The following is a 22,942-nucleotide window of genomic DNA, read 5'->3' as shown; positions in this document are numbered from 1 at the left end:
GCTACAGTAACCAAGACAGCATGGTACTGGTACCAAAACAGAGGTATAGACCATTGGAATAGAACAGAGGCCTCAGAAATAACACCACACATCTACAACCATCTGATCTTTGAAAAACCTGACAAAAATGAGCAATGGGGAAACGATTCCCTATTTAATAAATGGCGCTGGGAAAACTGGCTAGCCATATGTAGAAAGCTGAAACTGGATCCCTTCCTTACACCTTATAAAAAAATTAATTTAAGATGGATTAAAGACTTAAATGTTAGACCTAAAACCATAAAAACCCTAGAAGAAAACCCAGGCAATACCATTCAGGACATAGGAATGGGCAAGGACTTCATGACTAAAACACAAAAAGCAATGGCAACAAAAGTCAAAATAGACAAATGGGATCTAATTGAACTAAGGAGCTTCTGCACAGCAGAAGAAACTACCATCAGAGTGAACAGGCAACCTACAGAATGGGAGAAAATTTTTGCAATCTACCCATCTGACAAAGTGCTAATATCCAGAATCTACAAATAACTCAAACAAATTCATAAGAAAAACATCAAACAACCCCATCAAAAAGTGGGCAAAGGATATGAACAGTCACTTCTCAAAAGAAGACATGTATGCAGCCAATAGACACAAGAAAAAGTCCTCATCATCACTGGTCATCAGAGAAATGCATATTAAAACCACAATGAGATACCATTTCACAGCAGTTAGAATGGCGGTAAGTAAAAAGTCAGGAAACAACAGATGCTGGAGAGGATGTGGAGAAAAAGGAACGCTTTTACACTGCTGGTGGGAGTGTAAATTAGTTCAACCATTGTGGAAGACAGTGTGGTGATTCCTCAAGGATCTAGAATGAGAAATACCATTTGACCAAGCAATCCCATTACTACTGGGTATATACCCAAAGGATTCTAAATCATGCTACTATAAAGACACATGCACAGGTATGTTTATTGTGGCACTATTCACAATAGCAAACACTTGGAACCAACCCAAATGTCCATCAATGATAGACTAGATTAAGAAAATGTGGCACATATACACCATGGAATACTATGCAGCCATAAAAAAGGATGAGTTAATGTCCTTTGCAGGTCATGGATGCAGCTGGAAACCATCATTCTGAGCAAACTGTCACAAGGACAGAAAACCAAACACTGCATGTTCTTACTTATAGGTGGGAATTGAACAATGAGAACACTTGGACAAGTGTGGGGAGCATCACACACTGGGGCCTGTAATAAGGTGGGGGGCTGGGGGAGGGATAGTATTAGGAGAAATACCTAATGTAAATGATGAGTTAATGGGTGCAGCAAACCAACATGGCACACGTATACCTATGTATCAAACCTGCACATTGTGCATATGTACCCTAGAACTTAAAGTACAATAAAAAATAAATAAATAAAATTAAATTAAAAAATTTTTAAAAAGACATAATAGTGCTTCTATTCTGAGATGCGGTGTGTTACTATTCCCCCTATTATTTCAAATGATAGCAATATTAAAACAATTTTGTATTATACTTCCCTGAAGTTAGCACAATCAGGCTACTCTTTTTTGCCTTCAAAGCTAAGACCTTGACCCCAAACCACCACCATCTCTCACTCAGGTGGTGGCAACAGCCTCCTAACTGTTCTCTTAGCCTCTAGCTTTGTGCCTCTCTTCCCCAACAAGAGGAAATGCAATAGCCAGAACAGCCTTACAAGGTCCCTTTTGTTCAACACCCTACAATGAGCCTCAGTTCATTCTCAGTAAAAGCCAAATGTCTTCCTTCTCTTTTTAATTATCTAAGTTCATTTTATTTTCCAGGATATTGTTTATCTTGAAATTCTATGGGTGCAAGAAAAAAATGTGACTGCTGCTATTATTGCGTGGAGTATTCATATACAGAGTATGGCATCTATCTTGTTGGTTGATTGTGTTTTTCAAATCTTCTATGTCCTTACCCCAAACTCCCAATCCTCCCATTATGCTTATCACCTTCTAATGCAATATATGCTTACTTAATATGCTTAGTGTTTATTGTCTATCTTCCCTTGTTAGAATGTAAGCTCCACAAGGTAGGCATTATTGATTGTTTTGTTTCCTGATGTATCTCATTTTTCTGGAACTGTGCCTGGCACATAGGAGTGCACAGTAAATATTCATTGAATGTTTGAAGAATGCTCCATCCCAACCAAAGGTAGAATAAACCAGTTACTTATTTATTTTGAGACAGAGTCTTGCTCTGTATACAGGGTGGAGTGCAGTGGTGTGATCACAGCTCGCTGCAGCCTCAACCTCCTGGCTCAAGTGATCCTCTTTCCTCAGCCTCTTGAGTAGCTGGCACTACAGGCTAATTTTTTAAAAAAAATTTTGTAGCTATGGGGTCTCAACATGTTGCCCAGGCTAGTCTCAAACTTCTGAGCTCAAGGGATCCTCCTCTCTCAGCCCTCCAAATGGTTGAGATTATAGACATGAGCCACTGCGCTCAGCCCAGCTATGTTTATTTCTATGCCCTTTTCTTCCCTTTATTATTCTGTCTCACACACAAATATGTCTTTTATTCTGATGTCCCACTGATATGATATCAATCTATTTTAGTCAACATTTTTTATTCTTATGGGTTATATACTTTTTTAGTCTTAATATCATTTAAGGGTGGATCCAAGATTTGGGGGCCCTCTTCAAGTAAAAGAATGTGAAATTAAAAACACAAAAACTGCTTGGAAAGAGGCTCTTCACTCTCATTCATGCCAGCTATCATGTTGAGATGCAAGACACCACTCCCCTTTCTTTCCATTGTGGAAGGAATTTCAGATAGTAGAAAACAGGGGCTTCCACTGATAATTTCCTAGCATAAGCTATGATGTTGATGATAAACAAGATTAAACTAAAAGGCAAAGAAGAAGCAAAAAAAGTAGTTTGATTCTGCCAACACATAACAAATTAAAGTGATTTACCCGAACCACTTAAGGTTAATTACGATGAAGCACAATGTAGACTGTGAATGTCATTAGTCTGATAGATTCACTTTGGCTGCCACAGAAGCTAGCATTTGATTCTATGCTGAGCTAAGGAGTTTCTTCAGCTTCTGGCACACAACCCAAGGCTTGCCCCACTCCTTGTTTTTTTTTTTTTGATTTTTTTTTAATTGTTGCTAAAATCAGTGGAACACTGGAAGAGAGGGAAAGGAAGAGAGAGAATCAAAAGCATGGAGGCATATAGCAATCTGAGGAAAGGAAGAGGTTGAAGACATTAACGTAGATATCTATAGCCCCAGTTGAGTTTCTGTTCATCTCCCTTCAATACCCATTCTCTATCCAAATAGTGATGTGGCGCTTTGTTTAATTATTGTTTAATAGAAGTCTTCTCTCCTAGATTGGAAGCTTCCTAAGAGCAAAGGCCTCATCCACTTCCCTCCTGCTCTCCCTGCAACATGTCCCCCTCCATGTGTCTGGCACATTAAAGGGTTTCAATCAATAATTGATGTGTGAATTCCTTTTACGAATGAGTAAACAAATTGAAGAAAATTTGGCTCTTAGAATCCCCCACTTGGTAGAGCATCTCCTTAGTCCTGTTTTCTTTATTTCATTTATTTCTACACCAAGGATTTCTTCTGCTCCTTATGCCCAAGGCTGGAAGACTTAAACCCCTGAATGGGAAAGTGCCTTATAGCAACTGCCTTCATCAAAACGAATTAGACCATAAAGACATCTAGTCTGCACTCTCTCCTACCTATCACTTTCATTTTATTTGTAATATGTTAATAATACATGCAGAGCAGGATAAATGAAAAATATTACAATATGTTCTGTTGACCTAATGTGAGCATACATTTGGCCAAGTAACTGTGAAATATTTGATATTTTCACAGGAAAGCCAATGACTTTCCGTCTCTGAAGTTGGTGCTTTGGTTTATTTGACACATTTTCCATAGTCATGTTACCAGTAATTTTAGAGGTCCCAGGGGAAGAAACATTTCTCTTCCCTGAGTTCAGTAATTGTCATCTGAAGGTCTGAGAGCTGTACCACTTGCTTCTTGATTGTTTGGTTAAAGAAAAAGTTGTATGAAATGTCCTTTCTATTTTCAGAATATATATTTAACATAGAAAACCTGCTGGTAATTGTGCCAGCACTTAAACGCTATTGTTTCTTGGAAAGGGCCTATTCTGTTGCATGTGCCTTTTAAATGTAACATCTTTAAAACTTGAGTTCAAAGGACTGCCTCTCCTTTCATTAAACTGTAAGGACTTTGGAATGCTGTAAATTCATGTTCCCAGTAATTCTGGTCCTGGACAAGTTTCCTCTTCAACACCCCCTGTCCTTTGTTGTCATCTGTCTTCTCAGCGTCCTTCTGATGTCCAGCTTTGTGTTTCCTGCTATGGACATTTCCTGAGATCACTTGAGCTTATGTTCCATCTCCGAGAGAAAGCTGATGAGAATTAGTCATCCATGAATGTGATTATGGGTGATAATAAGCCCTTCTCAGTTGAGGTATTGCAGCTTAGCAGGAGACTTTTGAAATATTATCACTTTGCACAGTATGATTTTACCCAATATTCACAACAACCCTGTGAAGGAGAAGATGTGGCTAGAAATATTTCCATTTGTAGGTGACAACACTGCATTCCTGAAGGGCTAAATGATTTGCTGATGGTGATGTTACAGGACCCCAGCACTTACCCAAAGGTAGCCATTGGGTCAGGGTTTCTGCTCTATAGTCCCTTCTGTGTCACCAGAAAGATGTTACAGGACCCCACCACTTACCCAAAGTTAGCCTTTGGGTCAAAGGTTTCCTCACTGTAGTCCCTTTAGGTTTTGCCAGAAAGATGTTATAGGAAAGGGGTCCGGATCCAGACCCCAAGAGAGGGTTCTTGGATCTCGTGCAAGAAAGAATTCAGGGCGAGTCCGCAGTGCAAAGTAAAAGCAAGTTTATTAAGCGAGTAAAGTGGTGAAAGAATGTCTACTCCATAGACAGAGTAGGATGTTCCTGAAAGTAAGAAGAGAAACACATCCACCCTAAGTACAATACTTGTATATATGGGGAGATGTGCTCTGCTACAAGGATTTGTGATAAAGGATTAATTTGCTTGATTACTATATTTTGCAAGAATCAATATTATTATCTTTAAAGCAAAATTAGGAATGCCTTTGTTCTCCAGATATCGGGATATCTGGACATGCCCAAGTCTGGGTCTGTTTAGCAAACATTATTAATTTGTTCCCTTAACCATAGACATCTAGAGGCTAGGAATGACTAACCTTCTGGAAATGCAGCCCAGCAAATCCCAGCCTCATTTTCCTAGCCCTCACTCAAAATAGAGTCGCTCTGGTTCCAACACCTCTGACAGTGACACAAAAAGTAGCAAAGTCTGAACTGAAAACAGGCTGAGTCAAGATACTTTTGCATTTTTCTATCATCAGGTTACTAGCATCTGGAATGATCAGATAACAAAATTGTAAGCAAAATAGTTGGCGAATAGGAAGGACTGTGGCTGCATGCTAATCTTTCAGCCCTTCCCTGATCTTTGACTCCTCTCGCTTCTTTGATTCCACATTCCCTTTCTCCTCCTTTTCTAACAGAATCTTCTAGTTTCCTAAGCAGATTCCTTTCTCTCTGTGTCCCTTGGAGTATCCAGGGGTTTTGGCCCTCTTCTTTGTTCACTTTATACTGTCTACATGTGTCACCTTAGGTACATCTTTGGTTTAAACCATGATCTTTAGGTTGATGACTTAAAAAACCCAAATCCTGAACTTAGGTAAGTCTTTGCTGAGTACTATGATGGTGCACGCAATTGTCTACAGGGTAACTATTCTGGATAGTCAACTATTACTCTAACAAGACATGGCCAACTCACCAGCCATCTTACAGACTGAACATTTGTGTGCCCCCCACATCCATATTTTGATGCCCTAATCTCCAATGTGATGGCATTAGAAATTGAGGCCTTTGAGAGATAGCTAGGTTTAGATAATACCATGAGGGTGGAGCCCCTAGTGATGGCATTAATGCCCTTACAAGAGAAAAAGAGACACCAGGGTGTCTTCTCTTCATCAGGTGAGGATACTGTGAGAAGATTACCATGTGCAAGCCAGGAATTGGACCCTCACCAAGAATCAAATTTATCAGCACCTTGATCTCAGATTTCCCAGCCTCCAAAACTGTGAGAAATAAATATCTGTTGTTTAAGTAAAAAATACTGGTGTTTGCTATTTTGTTATGGCAGCCTGAGCAGACTAAGACAAGATGCACTCCCCACCTGCTACCCTCATCTATTGCTTACAATATGAAATTACAACTTTGCTATTAGGCCATTTTCCAATTTTTTCATCTATTGATCTATCTGACTATAGTTTGGATATTTGACCCTTCAGACTGCATGTTAAAATTTGATGCCAAAGTTAGAGGTAGAGCCTAATGGGAATGTTTGGGTCATGGGGGTAGATCCCTCATGAATGGCATGGTGTCATCCTTGTGGTACTGAGCTCTCACTATATTAGTTTCCATGAGAGTTCCCCTGAGAAATGGTTGTTGAAAACAGCCTGGCACCTCCTCCTCTCACTTGCCTCCTCTCTCACCATGTGATCTGCACATGTTGGCTCCCCTTCACTTTCCACCATGATTGGAAGCTTCTTGAGGCCCTCATCAGAAGCAGATGTTCTCACCATGCTTCTTGTGCAGCCTGCAGAACTGTGAGCTAAATAAACCTCTTTTCTTTATAAATTACCCAGTCTCAGGTATTCCTTTACAGCAACACAGACTAAGACAAAAAATTGGTATCCAGAGGTGGAGTGTTACACTAAAGATACCTGAAAATGCAGAAGAGGCTTTTGAACTGGGTAATGGGTAGAGATGGGAAGAATTTGGAGGGCTCAGAAAAAGATAAGAATTTGAGAGAAAGTTTGGAACTTTTTAGAGATTAGTTAAGTGGTTGTGATCAAAATGCTTATAGAAATACGGTCAGGAAAGGCCGTTGATGAGGTCTCAAATGGAAATGAGGAACTTACTGGGAACTGCAGCTATCACCCTTTTTACATCTAGCGAAGAACTTGACTACATTGTGTGCATGCCCTAGGGCTTTGTGGAAGGCTGAACTTAAGATTGATGACTAAAGTATCTGACAGAAGACATTTCTGAGCAGCAAAGCGCTCAGGCTGCTGTGTGGTTACTTCTAACTGCTTATGGTAAACTGGTAGAGAAAAAGCAAACAGAGTGGAAAAATTCAGAAAATTCACATCCTGGCCATGTGTTAGAGGAGAAAAGAGCATTTTCAAGATAGAAGTCCTAGGGTATTGGGAAGCAAGCACTTGCTAGAGAGATTAGCAGAGATATAAGGCAGGCAGGTGCTAATAGTCAAGACAATGGGGAAAAGTTCCCAAAAGCATTTCTGAAAATTTCAAGGCTGAGCCTCCCATCACAGGCCCAGAGGCCTAGGAAGACAGAATGGTTTCAAGGGCCAGGCCCAGGGTGCTGCCATCCTTTGCCACCTGGGCATTCTGCTCTCCTCATCCTGGCCACTCTGCCTCCAGACACAGCTCAAATAGCCCCAGGTACCACTGGAGCCACTGCTACAAAGGGCACAAGCCATAAGCCTTGGCAGCTTCCATGTTGTGTTAGGTCTGTAGGTGTGCAGAATGCAGGAGTGGTGGTGGAGAATTGGCACCTGCCACCTAGATTTCAGAGGATATAGCAGAAAGCCTGGGTGCTCAGGCAGAAGACTACCACAAGAGAGACTACTCTGGTGGAGAGTCCCCATGGCAAGACTACTAGGACAATGCTGAGCAGAAATATGGGATTGGAGCCCTCGCAGAATCCCACTGGGGAACTGTCTAGTGAAGTTGTGGGAGCGGGACCACTACCTTCCAAACCCCAGAGTTATATAGCCACTGGCAATGTGCACCTTCAGTCTGGAAAAGCCAAAGGCATTTAACTCCAACCTGTGAGAACTACCATGTAGGCTGCATCTAGCAAAGCCATGGAAACAGGGCTGCTCAAGGCCTTGGGTGCCCACTCTTCTCACCAGTGTGCCCTGGATACAGAATGTGCAGTCAAGAGGGATTATTTTAGAGTTTTAAACTGTAATATTTGCTCTGCTGGGTTCCATACTTGCGTGGGCCCTGTTACCCACCATTTTGGCTGATTTTTTCCTTTTGGAATGGGAATATTTACCAATGTCTGTTCCATCATTGAATCTTGGAAGCAAATAACTTGCCTTTGATTTATTTCTTTTTCTATCCCTTCACTTTCAATCTATGTATGTCTTTGTAGGTGAAGTGAGTTTCTTGTAGGCAGCATATAATTGGCTGTTGTTTTTTAATACATTCGGCCACTCTGTCTTTTAATGGGAGAATTTAACTTTGATTGCAAAAAAAGAGACAAACAAACAAAAAACTGCACACATTAACTGCCTTCTCCCCAACATTTTGAATTTTTGATGTCACAATTTGCATTTTTGTATGGCCTGTCTCTTAACAAATTGTTGTAGCTATTATTTTTCACAGTTTTGTTTTTTAGTCTTCTTATAAAGATATAAGTGGTTTAAACTTCATGATTATAATATTAGTATTGCAAAATAACATCACTTGTTTTTGAAGTCTGCCAAAGTGATGTTAATTGTAGTACCACTCAGCAAGTGATTTAAACTTACATTAGGTATTTACATTAATAAAAAGTCCCTCTGCTTTCCAATACCTCAGGCAGAGCCAGATGTTTCACTATTTTACCAGGATTCTGCTTATTCCATAGGTTCTCCCTCTTCTCTTTAAGCTGTTTTTAACTGTGTGCCCCTCACCCATGAATTTCCTGTTTCTTTCTTGTGCAAAGCAGTTTATTTCTCTCTGGGTTTTGTGGTCTCCTTCCCAACTCTTGGATATGCAGCTCAACCAGTACAAATTAATATTGCAAAATAATTTACAGAATGCTTTGCAGCCTAAATGCTTAATCTCAATTAGGTGCTGGAGAAAAACAGCAATATCTTGAAAGCCCTAAGGTAGAAATCAGGGATGAGCTTTAATGACTATTTCTTCTCCTCTTCTTTTCTTTTTTCCTCTCTTCCCCTCTCTGCTCCTTCCACCCTGCCTCCTTCCCCACTGGATAACACAAACCTTCTGAGAAGCACAAGAGAGATAAGTTATATACCTGAGAAAATACATATATATTTGACAATGTGCTACAGAACTGCTTTATTCATTACACATTAGTTACTGTTCCCTTTACTATTGACTATTTGGGAATGATGAATCCTTAAAAGCTTACTGCAATGTTAGGTTTAGTGCTTGAGCAAAGATAACTAACTTTGATGTTGTACTTGTTTAGAAATATTAACACTTCTTATTCTATATTTTAGCATTATAATTAAAATTAATCTTTAAAAGTCACACACCACACAAACATACAATGGAGTAAGTTCACTTAGAAAATGATGCCTTTTCACTGTTTTTTTTTTTTTTTTGTATACTTTTAAATGAACCACCCCAAAATATTTTACCCCAAAATATACTTCTTTGACATATTTCAAGATAACTATTCACAGTGGCAAGAAACACAGAATAGCTAAAAAGATACTTTTGCAGGGAGGAGATTTGCATCTGTAGAGAAAATCTGCATTGGTGCATCCAGATCTTGAAAAGGTTAACTCAACCGCAGGCTACTGTCTATTCTTTCTGAGAGCTGCTACATGTGAGGTTTCATCTGCATCGCAAGACTGCCTTTGCCCCATGACTTTTTTCTCTCTTCCTCCCATAACTTGCCTTGCCATGCTCCAAGCCCCTGTTCTTTCTGTAACTTCAAGATGATATAAAAGTATCAACCATCTGGCCCTCTCTTTGTGTTTTCCTATTTTGTATGACTCTTCGGTGCACATTAACAAATTTGGTATGTCTTCTCTTATGAATATGCCATCTTTCAGTTGATTTTCAGTGAAACTTCAGAGGGTAAAAAGAAAGTTTTCCCTTGGCCCCTACACTTCTAACAGATTAAAATAAAATTCACATACCATAAAATTCTCACTCTTAAAGTGTAAAATGCTGGGGCCTTCAGTGTATTCACAAGGTCATGTAACTATCACCACTATCTAATTCCAGAACATTGTCATCACCGCAAAAATAAATCTATTATAATACCCCTGAGCAGTGCCTCTCAATTTCTGTCTTCCCCCAGCTCTGCCAACCACCAATTTCTTATCTGTCTCTATGGATTATCCTCTTCTGGGCATTTCATAGAAATGGAATTATACAATATATGGCCTTTTATGTCTGGCTTCTTTCACTAACCATAATGTTTTCATAGTCATCCATGTTTTAGCATATATCAGTACTATTTATTTTTATGGATGAATAATATTCCATTTATGGTTATTTATGGACATTTTGATTATCCATTCATTAGTTGATTTGAGTTGTTTTCACTTTTTGGCTATTATGAATAATTATTCTATGAATATTCACATGCAAGTTTTTGTGTGAACATATGTTTTCAATTCTCTTGAGTATATACGTAAGAGTGGAATTGCTGAGTAACTCTATGTTTAACCACTTGAGAAAGTGCTAAACTGCTTTCTAAAGTAGCTGTTTGATTTAAAATTCTCACTAGCGTTACAAAAAATTATATTAGATGGTAAAAATGCATTTGTAATGCAATGATAAATCTATTGCATTGAATAGAATTAAACAGGCAAGAAATGCTTTATTCAAGACTATTGCAATAAGAGAAATTGAACTGAACTTTGAGTACAACAGGGGCAGCTGGAGATTTATAGCAATGGGCAGAGTGAGGGAGTCTGTGGATGGAAGAGTACCAAGAGGAACCTGGTTGGACACCAAGGGTGCGTGATTCTAGTTAAACTGGCTTGGCACAATTTTTGCTAAAGCGGGCTCAGCACAGCAAGGAGAGCAGGTTAACAATAATGCCTAATAGAGAAGAGGCCTAAGAGGAGGCTGGCTAAAGTTTGACCAAGGAGGGAGTCCAGTACTATATAAGGGTTCCAACTCCACATCCTCATTAACACTTGTTTTGTCTGTCTTTTTTATTGTAGGCATCCTAGTGGGTGTAAAGTGGTATCTCATCGAGGTTTTGAGTAGCATTTCTCTAATGACTAATGATGCTGAGTATCTTTTCATGTGTTCATTGGCCATTTGTATATCTTCTCTGGAGAACTGTTTATTCACATTCTCTGCCCATTTTCAACTGGATTGTCTTTTTGTTTTTGAGTTGGACGAGTCCTTTATATATTCTAGAAAGTAGACTATATAAAGGACTTATCAGACGCAAGATTTGTAAATGTTGTCTCCCATTTTGTAGGCTGTCTTTTTGCTTTCTTGGTAGTGTCCTCTGAGGCACCAAAGTTTTTATTTTGATGAAGTCCAATTATGCCCTAGGGTCATCGCTAATGATTCACAGCCCTAGTATATCGTGCCTTCCCCTTGAGTGATGGAAACTGAGATCTGCCTTTAACCAATACGATATAGCAGAGGTGATGGGATAGCACCCCTGTAATTGTCTTGTTATGTAAGACCCTGTCTTAGTGGACTGGAGAGAGATATTCTCCTGCTGATCTTGAAGAAGCAAACAGCCATGGTATGAGCTGCCTATTGAGAGGGCTGGGAACTGTAGGCAGTCTTCAGCTGACAGCCAATAAGAAGCAAGGACTTCTCAGTCACACAACCACAAAGAAAGTAATTATCCCAACAACCGGAATGAGCTTGGAAGTAGATTCTTCCCTAGCCAAGTCTTCAAATCAAACCAATACATTGTATGCAGCCTTATGAGATCTCATTGAGGTTTTGGTTAGTATTTGACCAGAAGACCCAACTAAATTGTGCCCAGATTTCTGACTCACAGAAACTATAAGTGTGTGTTCTTTGAAATATTTAACTGATTAATTAACATTTGTTAACATTAATTAACATTTGTGGTAATTAGCTATGACGATAGAAAATGAATACACCTTTTAAACTAATACTTTTCAATCTGTTTTAATCCATGCTCCATTTCATAAATGTAAATATATACATTTAACCCTTTTTGTGGTGTAACCTAAAATAAAAATAAAATATTTTGACAAAAAAAATCAAAGCAATGACATAAAGAGTTGCTTTGCCTTCAAATAATATAAAACTTATTTCCAATTTTGATATTTTCCTTAAAATCCAGATAAACTTCAAATAGATTAAATGACCTGCCCCAAAATTCCCAAAAATAGGTTGTGGCTGTCACCATCATTTGCTGTCTCCTTTCTAAACAGCACATTCAATCTTCTTAAGGAAAGAGACCACACTTAATATTATAAAGATCCTTTTTCTGAAGGAAAAATTATGACAAGTAGTGTGACAGAAAATTTTTCTGTTGGTAAATATATTAGCAGGAAAGGTCTTATGATGTTTAAATGTTGTCACATATAATTGCACATTGAAAACATTATCATTGTTGAAAAGATGAAAATGACCTGAAATCAGGGTCATATGAGAACTCTGTGTAACAGAAAGTATAATTAGCCAGCACGGTGTCTATGGGTTCCAGATTGCTAAGAATTACTTTGAGGTATTATTTAAACATGCACAGTCCCCAGCCTCCAGAGCAGGGACCTGGGATTCTGTGTGTTAAATAAATGCCCAGGTAAGTTTATGATTAGGTGCATTTGGGAGATTGGATAATACGAGAAATACAACTGCAATATTTAACTGATTAATTAACAGATAGATTGATGTGTAGATATTCAAGTGTTTAATTGCTAATGTGCAGGTTCGGTCTCTGTATTGGGTCTTCAGGGGAAAGTTTACGTAAAAGACGTGTCCTGAAACACAGTGTCAGTTAAGTATGAAAGAAACTAAAAGTAAATGCACTGAATGTATTATACAGTTGACTTCTTTTTTTTTCTGTTTTTTTTTGTTTGTTTTTTTTTTTTTTGAGATGGAGTTTTGCTCTTGTTGCCCACACTGGAGTGCAATGGCATGATCTTGGCTCACTGCAACCTCCACTTCCCAGGTTCAAGCAAAACTCCTGCCTCAGCATCCCGAGTAGCTGAGATTACAGTCATGCGCCACCATGCCCAGCTAATTTTGTATTTTTAGTAGAGATGGGGTTTCGCCATGTTGATCAGGCTGGTCTTGAACTCCTGACCTCAAGGGATCCACCTGCCTCGGCATCCCAAAGTTCTGGGATTACAGGCGTCTGCCACCATGCCCAGCCAGTTGACTTCTATTAATAATAACTTTTTTTCTGTTAGAATATAAGATCCATGGGGAATGGAAGCATTATCCAGAATAAATATTTTTTGAATTTGTTATTACTAATATTATCAATGAACATGTTCCACTTACCTTGAGAATAGGGCATCTAAAGGAAAAAAGGGTCTCTCAGGTTGGCAAAATAGATCAGATAGAAAAAATAGAGTGAAAGGAAACACTCAACAGCTTCTCTGTTTTTTAAGAAACTCTCATAATCAGAGTTTGAATCTCCTCTGAATTAACTGAGTGGTCCAAATGGAAAATTTAAGAATACCTTTAAAAAAACACACACATAAAAAACTGGCTTCCTAGACCTTGTGGTTAGCAAATAAGTCTTGCCAATTTTGATAAATTAGTTGCAAATGAATCAGAAACATACGGACTATATGTAGTCATATTTTCAAATAGAAGAAAGGTGCTTGGAAAATGTATTTAGTTAATGCCAAAGTTTAAATGTTTCAGAAATAGTCTGTGGCATTCTCAGAAAGCAAAACATTTTCACTCTGTCAGCATTCTAACTTCAATGTATTTATATAGTGCCATTTAGCCCTAGAAACAAATTAACAGAAAGAATCATCTTGCAAAATACCAATATTTTCACTCACTCATGAGCACTGACCTGGCTGGTCTCTATTATTCTTAGGCCATCACATAGTCTTTAACATTTATTTCCTTTTTTTTCATTTCCATATTACAATACAGGAATAGCACAAAGGTAAGTGGTTTAAACTTCAGTACATATCCATTACCATATCTTCCCACTGGTTGGTCAGTATTAATAAATGCAAATAATATATGTAATTCTGCATATATTTTTCAACGTATGTTCTTGAAAAAAAAACAATAAAACACAAAACTATTATAATGCTGAAATATCACAGTATAGAACTTGAATCATAATTGTAATTGCACAGCTAAGAAGACATTAGATAAAGAATAATATTTTATTTGGTACATATCAGAGTAGATTTTTTCCATTTTAATTTGCTTTATTATTGAGTTGCCATTACTGTTCAATGTTAAGCTTCATTTTTGTGTTCAATAAGAGGTTATTTTTATGGTTATGGACTACAATGAGGCAATAACAAAAAACAAGCAACCAAAAAAAACCCCAGTGTTTTCGTAAATTCATTAAGGCAACCACTCAATATACTAAAGGAACAAAAAACAATTCCCCAATCATCAAGCTTGCTACCAGAATTCAATGGTTATATGACTGAATGTACTAACCAGTTTGATCAAAGCAGTTCATCCTCCTCAAATGTCTAATACCCTCTTTTTAGACACTTTGCAAATGGAATGAGTCTCAGTCTCTAAGTAACATGATAGCAAATTGTCAAAAAGATTTTGCTGTTCAGTGTTTCCGGAAATGGAACTCTAGAGCTACTTTAATAAAGCCTTTAAAATTGGAGATAATTCAATAGGTCTGGAAAAAAAAGACTCTCAAGAAACAAGAAAATAATGCCAAAAAACGATTTATGTAGAACAGATATTAAATGTGTAGTGCCATATAAATTCTAGCGAAGAAAATCCATTCTGACAGCTTACAATGTTTTATTGATTAGAAAAGTTTTGGAACATTACCAAGGTCCATGAAAGGCATGGGAAATAATTTCAAAGGAAAGGGAAAAAATTTAAAAATACTCTTTCCCCCTGCATTGAAGAATATTACAGTATAATAACAGAACAAAGTTTCTGGAAAGTTGCCATATGTTCCATGGAAGAAGAAATAACATGCAACAGTAGGTGTAATTATAGCAGATACCAGCTCACTGATGTTCAGTTCCCATTGTCAAGTGATTTAAAGCACCCAAGAAGTGCCAATGCAAACTAATTTCTTGAATTTGCTTTTTACTTTTGTGTATAAAGGAATGGTACACTGTTTTTATAACATCTGATCAAGAAGCCTGATTTTTCCTCTTTTTTCCATCTTGCCTGACACAAATAAGTTAAAAAATGAAAGGAGATGGCTTCTATGACTACTTACTTGAGAGGTTCGCAGCCTGAAGCTAGGCAACACAAATCAGTTTATAAAAATGTATCTGGCAACATGGATGTGCTTGGGGGACATTATGTTAAGTGAAATAAGCCAGGCACAGAAAGACAAGTACCGCATGTTCTCACTCATATGTGGGAGCTAAAAAAGTTGATTTCGGAGAAGTAGAGAGTAGAATTGTGGTTACTAGGGAAGGGGCGTGGGGCACATAGCCAGAGGTTGGTTAACAGAAAGCAATTATAGCTATATAGAAGGAATAAGTTCTAGTGTTCTATAGCGCTGTAGCGCTAGTGTTCTGTAGTGAATATAATTAATAATAATTTACTGTATATTTTTAAATACCTAGAAGAGCAGATTTTGAATGTTCCCAACACAAATGAATGACAGGTGTTTAAGATGATGAATATGGTAATTTGCCTGATTTGATCATTACACATTGTATACATGTATTGAAATATTACACTGAACTCCATTAATATGTGCAATTATTGTGTCAATGAAAAATAATAATAAAAGCAAAAAATGGGCAGAAAGATATGTATCTGAATTCAGCTTAAGAAAAGACTCAGTCTGATTTAAGTAGATGAATGAGGTATACTTCTACAGCAGTGGTCCTCAAACTTCAGGTGACAGAGAATCTTCTAAGGAGTTTGTCAAAATGCATTCCCAGGCCTCTCCTCCAGAGGTTCTGATTTGTAGGTTTGGGATGGCACTCATTAACCTGCACATAAACCAGAGCCTCCAGTGTACCTGATACAGGTGGTTCTCAGAGCACAATGTTGAGAATCTCTGCTCTAGAACCCTAGAACCCGCACCTTCCTCCTGTTCTCCTCTCCTCCAGGCCCTGGAGGATCAGGGTCCTGATGGAAGTCTATTGGACCTCTGTGAGGGAAGGGAAAATATTTGAGAACTATTCCACAGGCTTACTTTCTTTTTCTTTCTTTCTTCTTTTCTGACCTAAATGCAGAAGGAACAATTAATTATACCTTTCAGTCCACAGTTCATGGCACATAATAATCATTGTTGAGAGCAAAGGATCTGCTTCCCTCCCTACCTCCCTTCTTTCTTTCTTGCCTCCCCTTCCTTCTTTATCTATTTCCTTTTATCTCCATTCCAGTTAGTCATTTTTCTCTATCCCGTAGTCAAATTCTCTAATGCTTTTATTGCGAATCTTTTGTTAGTGTGCTTTTCTTGCAAAATGAGCGTTGCTGCTTTGCATGACTGTATGTAAATGGGTTTGTGTTTTACTTATTGTCCCTAAGCACCATGGTTGTGAGATACATTCATGTGTTGCCATGTGTATATTGAACCTGTTGTTTCTAACAGCTACAGACCTGGTGTTTATCTACCACATTATTATTTGATAGACAACCAGGTTGTTCTAACTCGTTGCCACCACATATAATGCTGTAACGCATATCCTTGTACACGTCCCCTTGGATCTGTGTATGAACCTCTTTGAGATGTGTATCAAGAACAGAATAGCTGGAGATTTTCGGCCTAAAAGAACGTCTTCTCTGGATCACTCAAAACCACCCCAGCCATATTTGCCACTCAAGGTCTCATTATTACAACTTTAAAAAGAGCATGGTATAGCTTGGCTGGGATGTAGGAATATGTGTGTTTATTCTACTTTCATGTGCTCAACACTTTACTGAGTATTTATTATATATTTGATGATATAAAGATAAATAATTCACATCCTTCATCATAAGTGTGTGTATATATATCTCCCATTTTTACAGATGGGGAAAATAAGGCTTGAGCTCATGCAACTAGTAAGTGACAGTCAAGATTTGAGACAAAAATCTATCTAATTCCAAATCCTCTAGAAACAATAAAATAGGGAGAATATTGTCTCTACAGGAAAAACATTACCTTGCTCTTTTGAGAATGTGAAATTAGGGAAAATAAAATTTTTCCCCAGATACTTTATACTTATAGCTCTTGATTGGTTGGCAGAAAATAGTTCCTTGCCAAGGTGAGTCTCCAACCCAAGACATACGACAGGGTGTTTTTGTGTTCTAGAGAGAAGATGGGATACTCTGTGAGCCAGACCAGTGGTCTGGGTGGAAGCTGAGCAGGAAGGATGTGGCAGCAGAATCTTTTAAGGGAAAATATCTCCTTCAAGCCACCATCTCTTCCTTTCCTCAGTACTTGATTTAAGACAAGCTCCAGCATAAGGTGGATAGGCCACAGAGCAGCCTCATGAGAATGAAGCAGCCCAAATGATTCTCATATGATCATATGCCGGCATAGGGAAAGGTTAAAAGGGCAATGATCATTTCCAGTTTAAGAACTTTTAAAGCAGTGGGACTCAACTTTTTCCAGTTTGATATCTTATAAGGACAAAAGCATTTTGATATTGTGTTATGACAATGGCTGTTCTTTTTTCAATTTTGAGTGAAATGTATAATAGCAAAAAGCTACAATGAATTTAGTAATACTTTAGCTTGTATCTAAACATTTTTACAAATACTAGTATCGTTTTATTTTTTAAAATATTTTATTTCATTTTATTATTTTTTGCTAGCTGCTGGAAGTTTGTTTTCTTCTTGGTGCGAGGCAAATTGTTACAGGATATCAGGTAAGCTGGGGTGTGACTTGGATAGTGAAGAGTGGAGTGCTCTCAACTTCCTCTTTGATATTTTGCTCTTTGACGTAAAAATAACCCAACTGCTTTCAGCTCATTGCAGCCTGCCCAGTCTAGGGCTGTGATGGGCCTAGGACCTCCAGAAGTGGGTCAGGCCTCTTTCTCAAGGCTTCCCCAGACAGGTCATGGGTGGACATGCAGCTGGAAACCTGAGGAGATCCTGAGTGCTCTGAGGACTCCAATACTGTGGCCATGAATGGGAGTATACATTTCTCAAAAAGAAGCTTGCTCACCAGTGATTAGGACCAGCCGTGGGGAGACTCTGGTGATGGTAGGGGGATGGCATCCCCAAATACTAAACACTTCCACAGAAGCCGTTGGTGGAAGTGGAGCCTAGGAGCATTTGTAATAGTCATGCATGAGTAGGAATGAGCCACTGGAAGAGATGGCTGCTGTGTTCCTGCTGGTGGGCTGATGTAAACACTGGCACACCATCATGGGTGGCAGGGACAGAGATGATAGGCCATGGAGTTTGCAGAAGAGACCACAGAGGCCACTTCATGACTGAGATGCACATGTGTGTGTGCTTGGGATGCATATTTATTTTACTACAGTATATGCTATTCTTTGCCTCTACAGCCTAGCGCCCACGGTCAATCCTGGGTGAGCATTTGAATTCCCAAACCCTTAGAATTACTTACTCTGTTCACCAGTCCACAATAGATCATATCTGGGAAACCACTATCCTAAATGCTCTATATCTATACCACTAGTTGGGCACTTAACATGCCATCTTGTATTCTCAGGTTATATTTTACATTTTTCTGTTAACATTCCTCTTTTTCTTCATCTGGATTGTAAACTCTCTAAAAGAAGAGATCATGTATTGCATTTTAATGTCCACAGAATGAAGAACAGTACTTTGCAGAGCCTTGTTAAATAAGGAGGGGTAAAAAGATTTATTAAGTAACCATTTTGTACCAGGAATTGTGATGGGTGCTTTATGTTTATTGTGGACCTTGAGGTTGAATCTACAGTCTAATCCTATCATGGTAACTCACCCATTTCCTTGCCTATGATGGATTCTGGCACCTCGGCTTAAGCCAATCAGAGCATTGCATTCACCTAAGGACTCCTTGGATTATGGCTGGGCATGAGACCTAAACTGGGCATTCAGACTGAGAGGAATATTTTCCCCCATTTTGGGGGAAGGGTTTAGCTGTGGGCAACTGATTAATGCAAGGATCTAGAACCTTGATGTCATTGAGTCACGTATTCAGTCAACCAAGCTGAAACCACTTTACAGCAAATATCTTCTCTTCAGTCCTCATACCCATCACTCACTTTTCTCACCCTGCTTTTCCCTGAAAGGCTGACCTATATGGTCTGTGTCAATGGATTTCTTGCCCTCTGGCTTCTGGTTGGCTTTAACCAATGGGGAACACAGGCAGGAGATGGCAAGGAGGAAGAAGAGTATGGTTAGCATATTTATTCTTGTACAATGTGCTGTTTTGGAACACCCTGTTGAATGAGATATGAATGGTTTACTCTTTAAACTATTTTGAGTTCTGTTTTCAGTCCCTTACAGTAAAAAAGTTATACTGATATATACATGCAACCATATAGATATATTTCCCCTACGCTTCTGTAGGCACTGATGATGCATATATTATCTCATATAAACCTTTGAAGAAGTTAAAGTAGCTTTATTATCTCCATTTTGCTGTAAGGAAACCAGGACCCAGAGAAATGAGGTGTCCAGGATAAGGACACAGGCTTGAAGGAAGCTTAATTATTAAGTTTAGAAATTGATTTACATTTACTAAATGCTCTATTATAGTATTACTGAGTTCATTTAAAAAAATTTATAAGGCCAAGCACGGTGGCTCACACCTGTAATCCCAGCACTTTGGAAGGCCGAGGCAGGTGGATCACAAGGTCAGGAGATCAAGACCATCCTGGCCAACATGGTGAAACCTTGTCTGTACAAAAAATACAATCTAGCTCAGGGATTGTAAACGCACCAATCAGCACCCTGTCAAAACGGACCACTCGGCTCTCTGTAAAATGGACCAATCAGCAGGATGTGGGTGGGGCCAGATAAGAGAATAAAAGCAGGCTGCCAGAGCCAGCAGTGGCAACCGGCTCGGGTCCCCTTCCACACTGTGGAAGCTTTGTTCTTTTGCTGTTTGCAATAAATCTTGCTGCTGCTCACTCTTTGGGTCCACACTGCCTTTATGAGCTGTAACACTCACCGTGAAGGTCTGCGGCTTCACTCCTGAGCCCGCCAGATCAATTTCTCAATGATCTGATCATGTTCTTTATAGCATTTCCCCCTCCATATGGAATCCACTCTACGATCACATATTATATTTAGTTTTCATATCTCTTTAATTTTCTTTAATCTGCAAGAGTTCCTCAACTTTTCAGTGACTATGACTTTTATCACATCACCGTTTGTGAAACCTCCAGCCTCTCTCCCCTTTTAAATAAAATGCTTCTAATTTTTTAAATAAAATGCTCCTGATTTTTTTCTGACGTTTCCTCATGATTAGATTTAGTTTTTCTGTGTTCTGCTGGAAGACTACCTAGGTGACGTCATGTCCTTCTTAGGATGTTGCACCAGAGGCACCCAATGTCTGTCTACGCCTCCTTGATAATTTAAGTTGTGATCACCTCTTCAATATATTATCTGATTTCTCCACTATATAGGAGAGAGGCCTGAGTTTGAAAGCCAGGATTTGTCAAAGCACAAAGCACTGCTGGCTGCTTCCTGTTGATTCATTCATCTGCCCTTACTGGGAACTTTAGTGGAGGCATTATCTGCTATGACTCTAAGCTAAGAAAGTTTTCTTTCTCATGAGACCAAGGTCTGGGTAAGGGAGGTTACAGTCAAAAGGATTTCTATAGCTTCTGAATTGTTTTCAAATCCTAACAATTGGCCGCTCACTATTCAGTTAAATTACTCTTAAGGGAAAACAATTTCATCAATTTTTTAAACCTCTTCCCTTTCTAACTCACAGTACTTTTAGGGTCTCTCAACTTCTCCTCCATAAAAGAAGTGTCTGCTTTGTTTGTTCAGACCTGGGTGATTTGTTTCTAAGCAGCAGGCAAATTGCTTTGTTCTCAGAATAAGCTTGAGGAGGAGGGATCCCAGGGTGGGACGGCAATCAGAAGGGTTTATACAATGGTTGGCTCCTCTTTCCTATCATGGAGATCCCAGGGGCCTTAACAACTTGGTTCTAGTCCACACTGACAGTGCTGGAGGTCACATCTCTAGTATCTTTCATTTAATCTTTTTCTGGGGATTTTTCCTGTCCCAGGAGGTAGTTGGAAAGACAGCAAACTTTGGTCAGGCTTTGCAGGTGGGTCTCTTGGCTCATGTGAAATCTGGATGTAATAGATTTAAGTAAACAACTGATCTTAAAGCCAGTCCAATTGCTGTTGCGTCAAAATTTATCCCAGGCCTCAAAGACCTTTAGGGGGAGTAAAGCCAAACGCCTTACCTGTAATTACATTCTGTTGATTTGTCTGAAGTTACTCCCCTTTGTCACTTCAGGTCTACGCAAAACTCCCGAGACAATAATGGGCATTGTTGGTTTGCACAGTGCTGGTGGAAACGTGGGTGCAGAAAGGCAAACTTGTGGTCGGTGCATTTTATTGCAGGATACAAATCACACAGCTGAATCTGGCAACTATTATGAGGCTGAAATAAGCACATATACTCACAGAACAAAGCAACCAAATTATGTGTTTAACATAATAATAATTACAAAAGCTCTACAGGCATCGTTTTGAGCTATCTGCTGCCATAAGTCCCAAGGGCTTCCTTCAACCATGGGGAAACTGAAAAATGAACAGTGACAGGAAGCTGGGGTGGAGCGAGAGCTCAGCCATTAGTTTTCTTTTGTGTGTGAACAATTGTTTTAAAGTTTAAATGCAATATTCAGTGTATCATTTGTTGCCACAAATTATCCCTTGGATAGTTTACTATGAGTGCCAGCTTCTCTGGGGTGCCTTCTGTGTTTTACAAGTGGTTCCATCAAACAATGATTATTATTCTTCAAAAAATGATCCAGAGTGGCTTATTACATGACAGACATGTGGTTTGAGTTTTGTCGTAAATGCAGAACAAAGGGTCTGAGAGTGTTTCTTTTTGTTATCTGAGCTGTGTGGCTCTAAGGAAACATCAGATAGTTCATTATTCAAATGAGAATATTTTCTTGCCTTTCATTTCATTTTCGGTTTTATTTCTGTATATCCATGACATTTTAGCAAGCAAGCTGCCTCCTCTAGAAGAGCCATCTGCTTTGCTTTTCAACTGTGAAACCATCTGAGAGAACGAATACCTTCTTCCTCATAGAAACACATATGGGGTGAGGGGAGTGGTATTGTTAATTATATATATGATTATGCATGAATATATACATAAATAGGTATATATTTATGTGTATTTGTATATGTGTATGTGTGTGTGTGTGTAGTGTCTTTCTTTACTTTTTTCTGTTTTTAAAAAATACTAGAGCATAGTTGTACAATCAAGGAACTTGGTCTCAATAAACAACTAAGCAAAAATCTCCGACCCACCTTTCTCCCATGTCTCAAACCTTTCTCAGTGCAATAGGGTATGAGTTACATAAGCATGGGGACTTTGGTCTGCATGTTGATTGGTATATTCCTGGTGTATAGAAGAGTGTCTGGTATATAGTAGTTGCTAAAATAATAGTTGTTGGATGAAGTGGTATGAATATCAGTGTTCCTCCTCAGTAAATTCTGTGTGTCAGGCATGTAACAGTCAGAAATTACTCTTCCTCACTATGATTGTGCCTGTCGTTACTCCCACTCAGAATGGTTATAATCTTTTGCCTGGTGCTAATATACCCTGTGCTATGGTGATGGTTTGGGGCAGGACACCTTCTATGACTTGTGTTACATTTTCTTACTAGATGACAAAGCAAAGATGCCTTGAGGCCATTTCCTATGAGTTGTCAGGCATCCCTGCCAACTCTGTAGGATTACTTAAATTATCACCAGTGAACATACATTTTGGATCCTGGCCTCAGGACTTTTTCTACATGAATATATTGATGGAAGAAACAGGAACCTATTATCTATTGAGATGACTGATAGTAAACCACTAC

At 38.8% G+C, this 22,942-nt stretch overlaps 1 non-coding gene across 1 annotated transcript, besides 1 other annotated feature; it reads right to left on the bottom strand.

Annotated features, from left to right (window-relative positions):
* Window positions 1-2,913: 2,913 nt before the first annotated feature.
* MIR3977 (microRNA 3977) lies at window positions 2,914-2,983 on the bottom strand. Its single transcript, NR_039773.1, has one exon. It is a non-coding gene; the product is annotated as a microRNA 3977 (primary transcript).
* Window positions 21,964-22,143: an enhancer, noted in NCBI's record as "active region_22738". NCBI's record gives its function as "activates an Ori minimal core promoter by ATAC-STARR-seq in GM12878 lymphoblastoid cells {active_cell/tissue: GM12878}" and the evidence as "EXISTENCE:reporter gene assay evidence [ECO:0000049][PMID:35858748]".

This window comes from Homo sapiens, chromosome 5, assembly GCF_000001405.40.
Source record: "Homo sapiens chromosome 5, GRCh38.p14 Primary Assembly".
Classification (NCBI taxonomy): Eukaryota; Metazoa; Chordata; class Mammalia; order Primates; family Hominidae; genus Homo; species Homo sapiens.
This window is presented reverse-complemented; position numbering and strand designations above follow the sequence as displayed.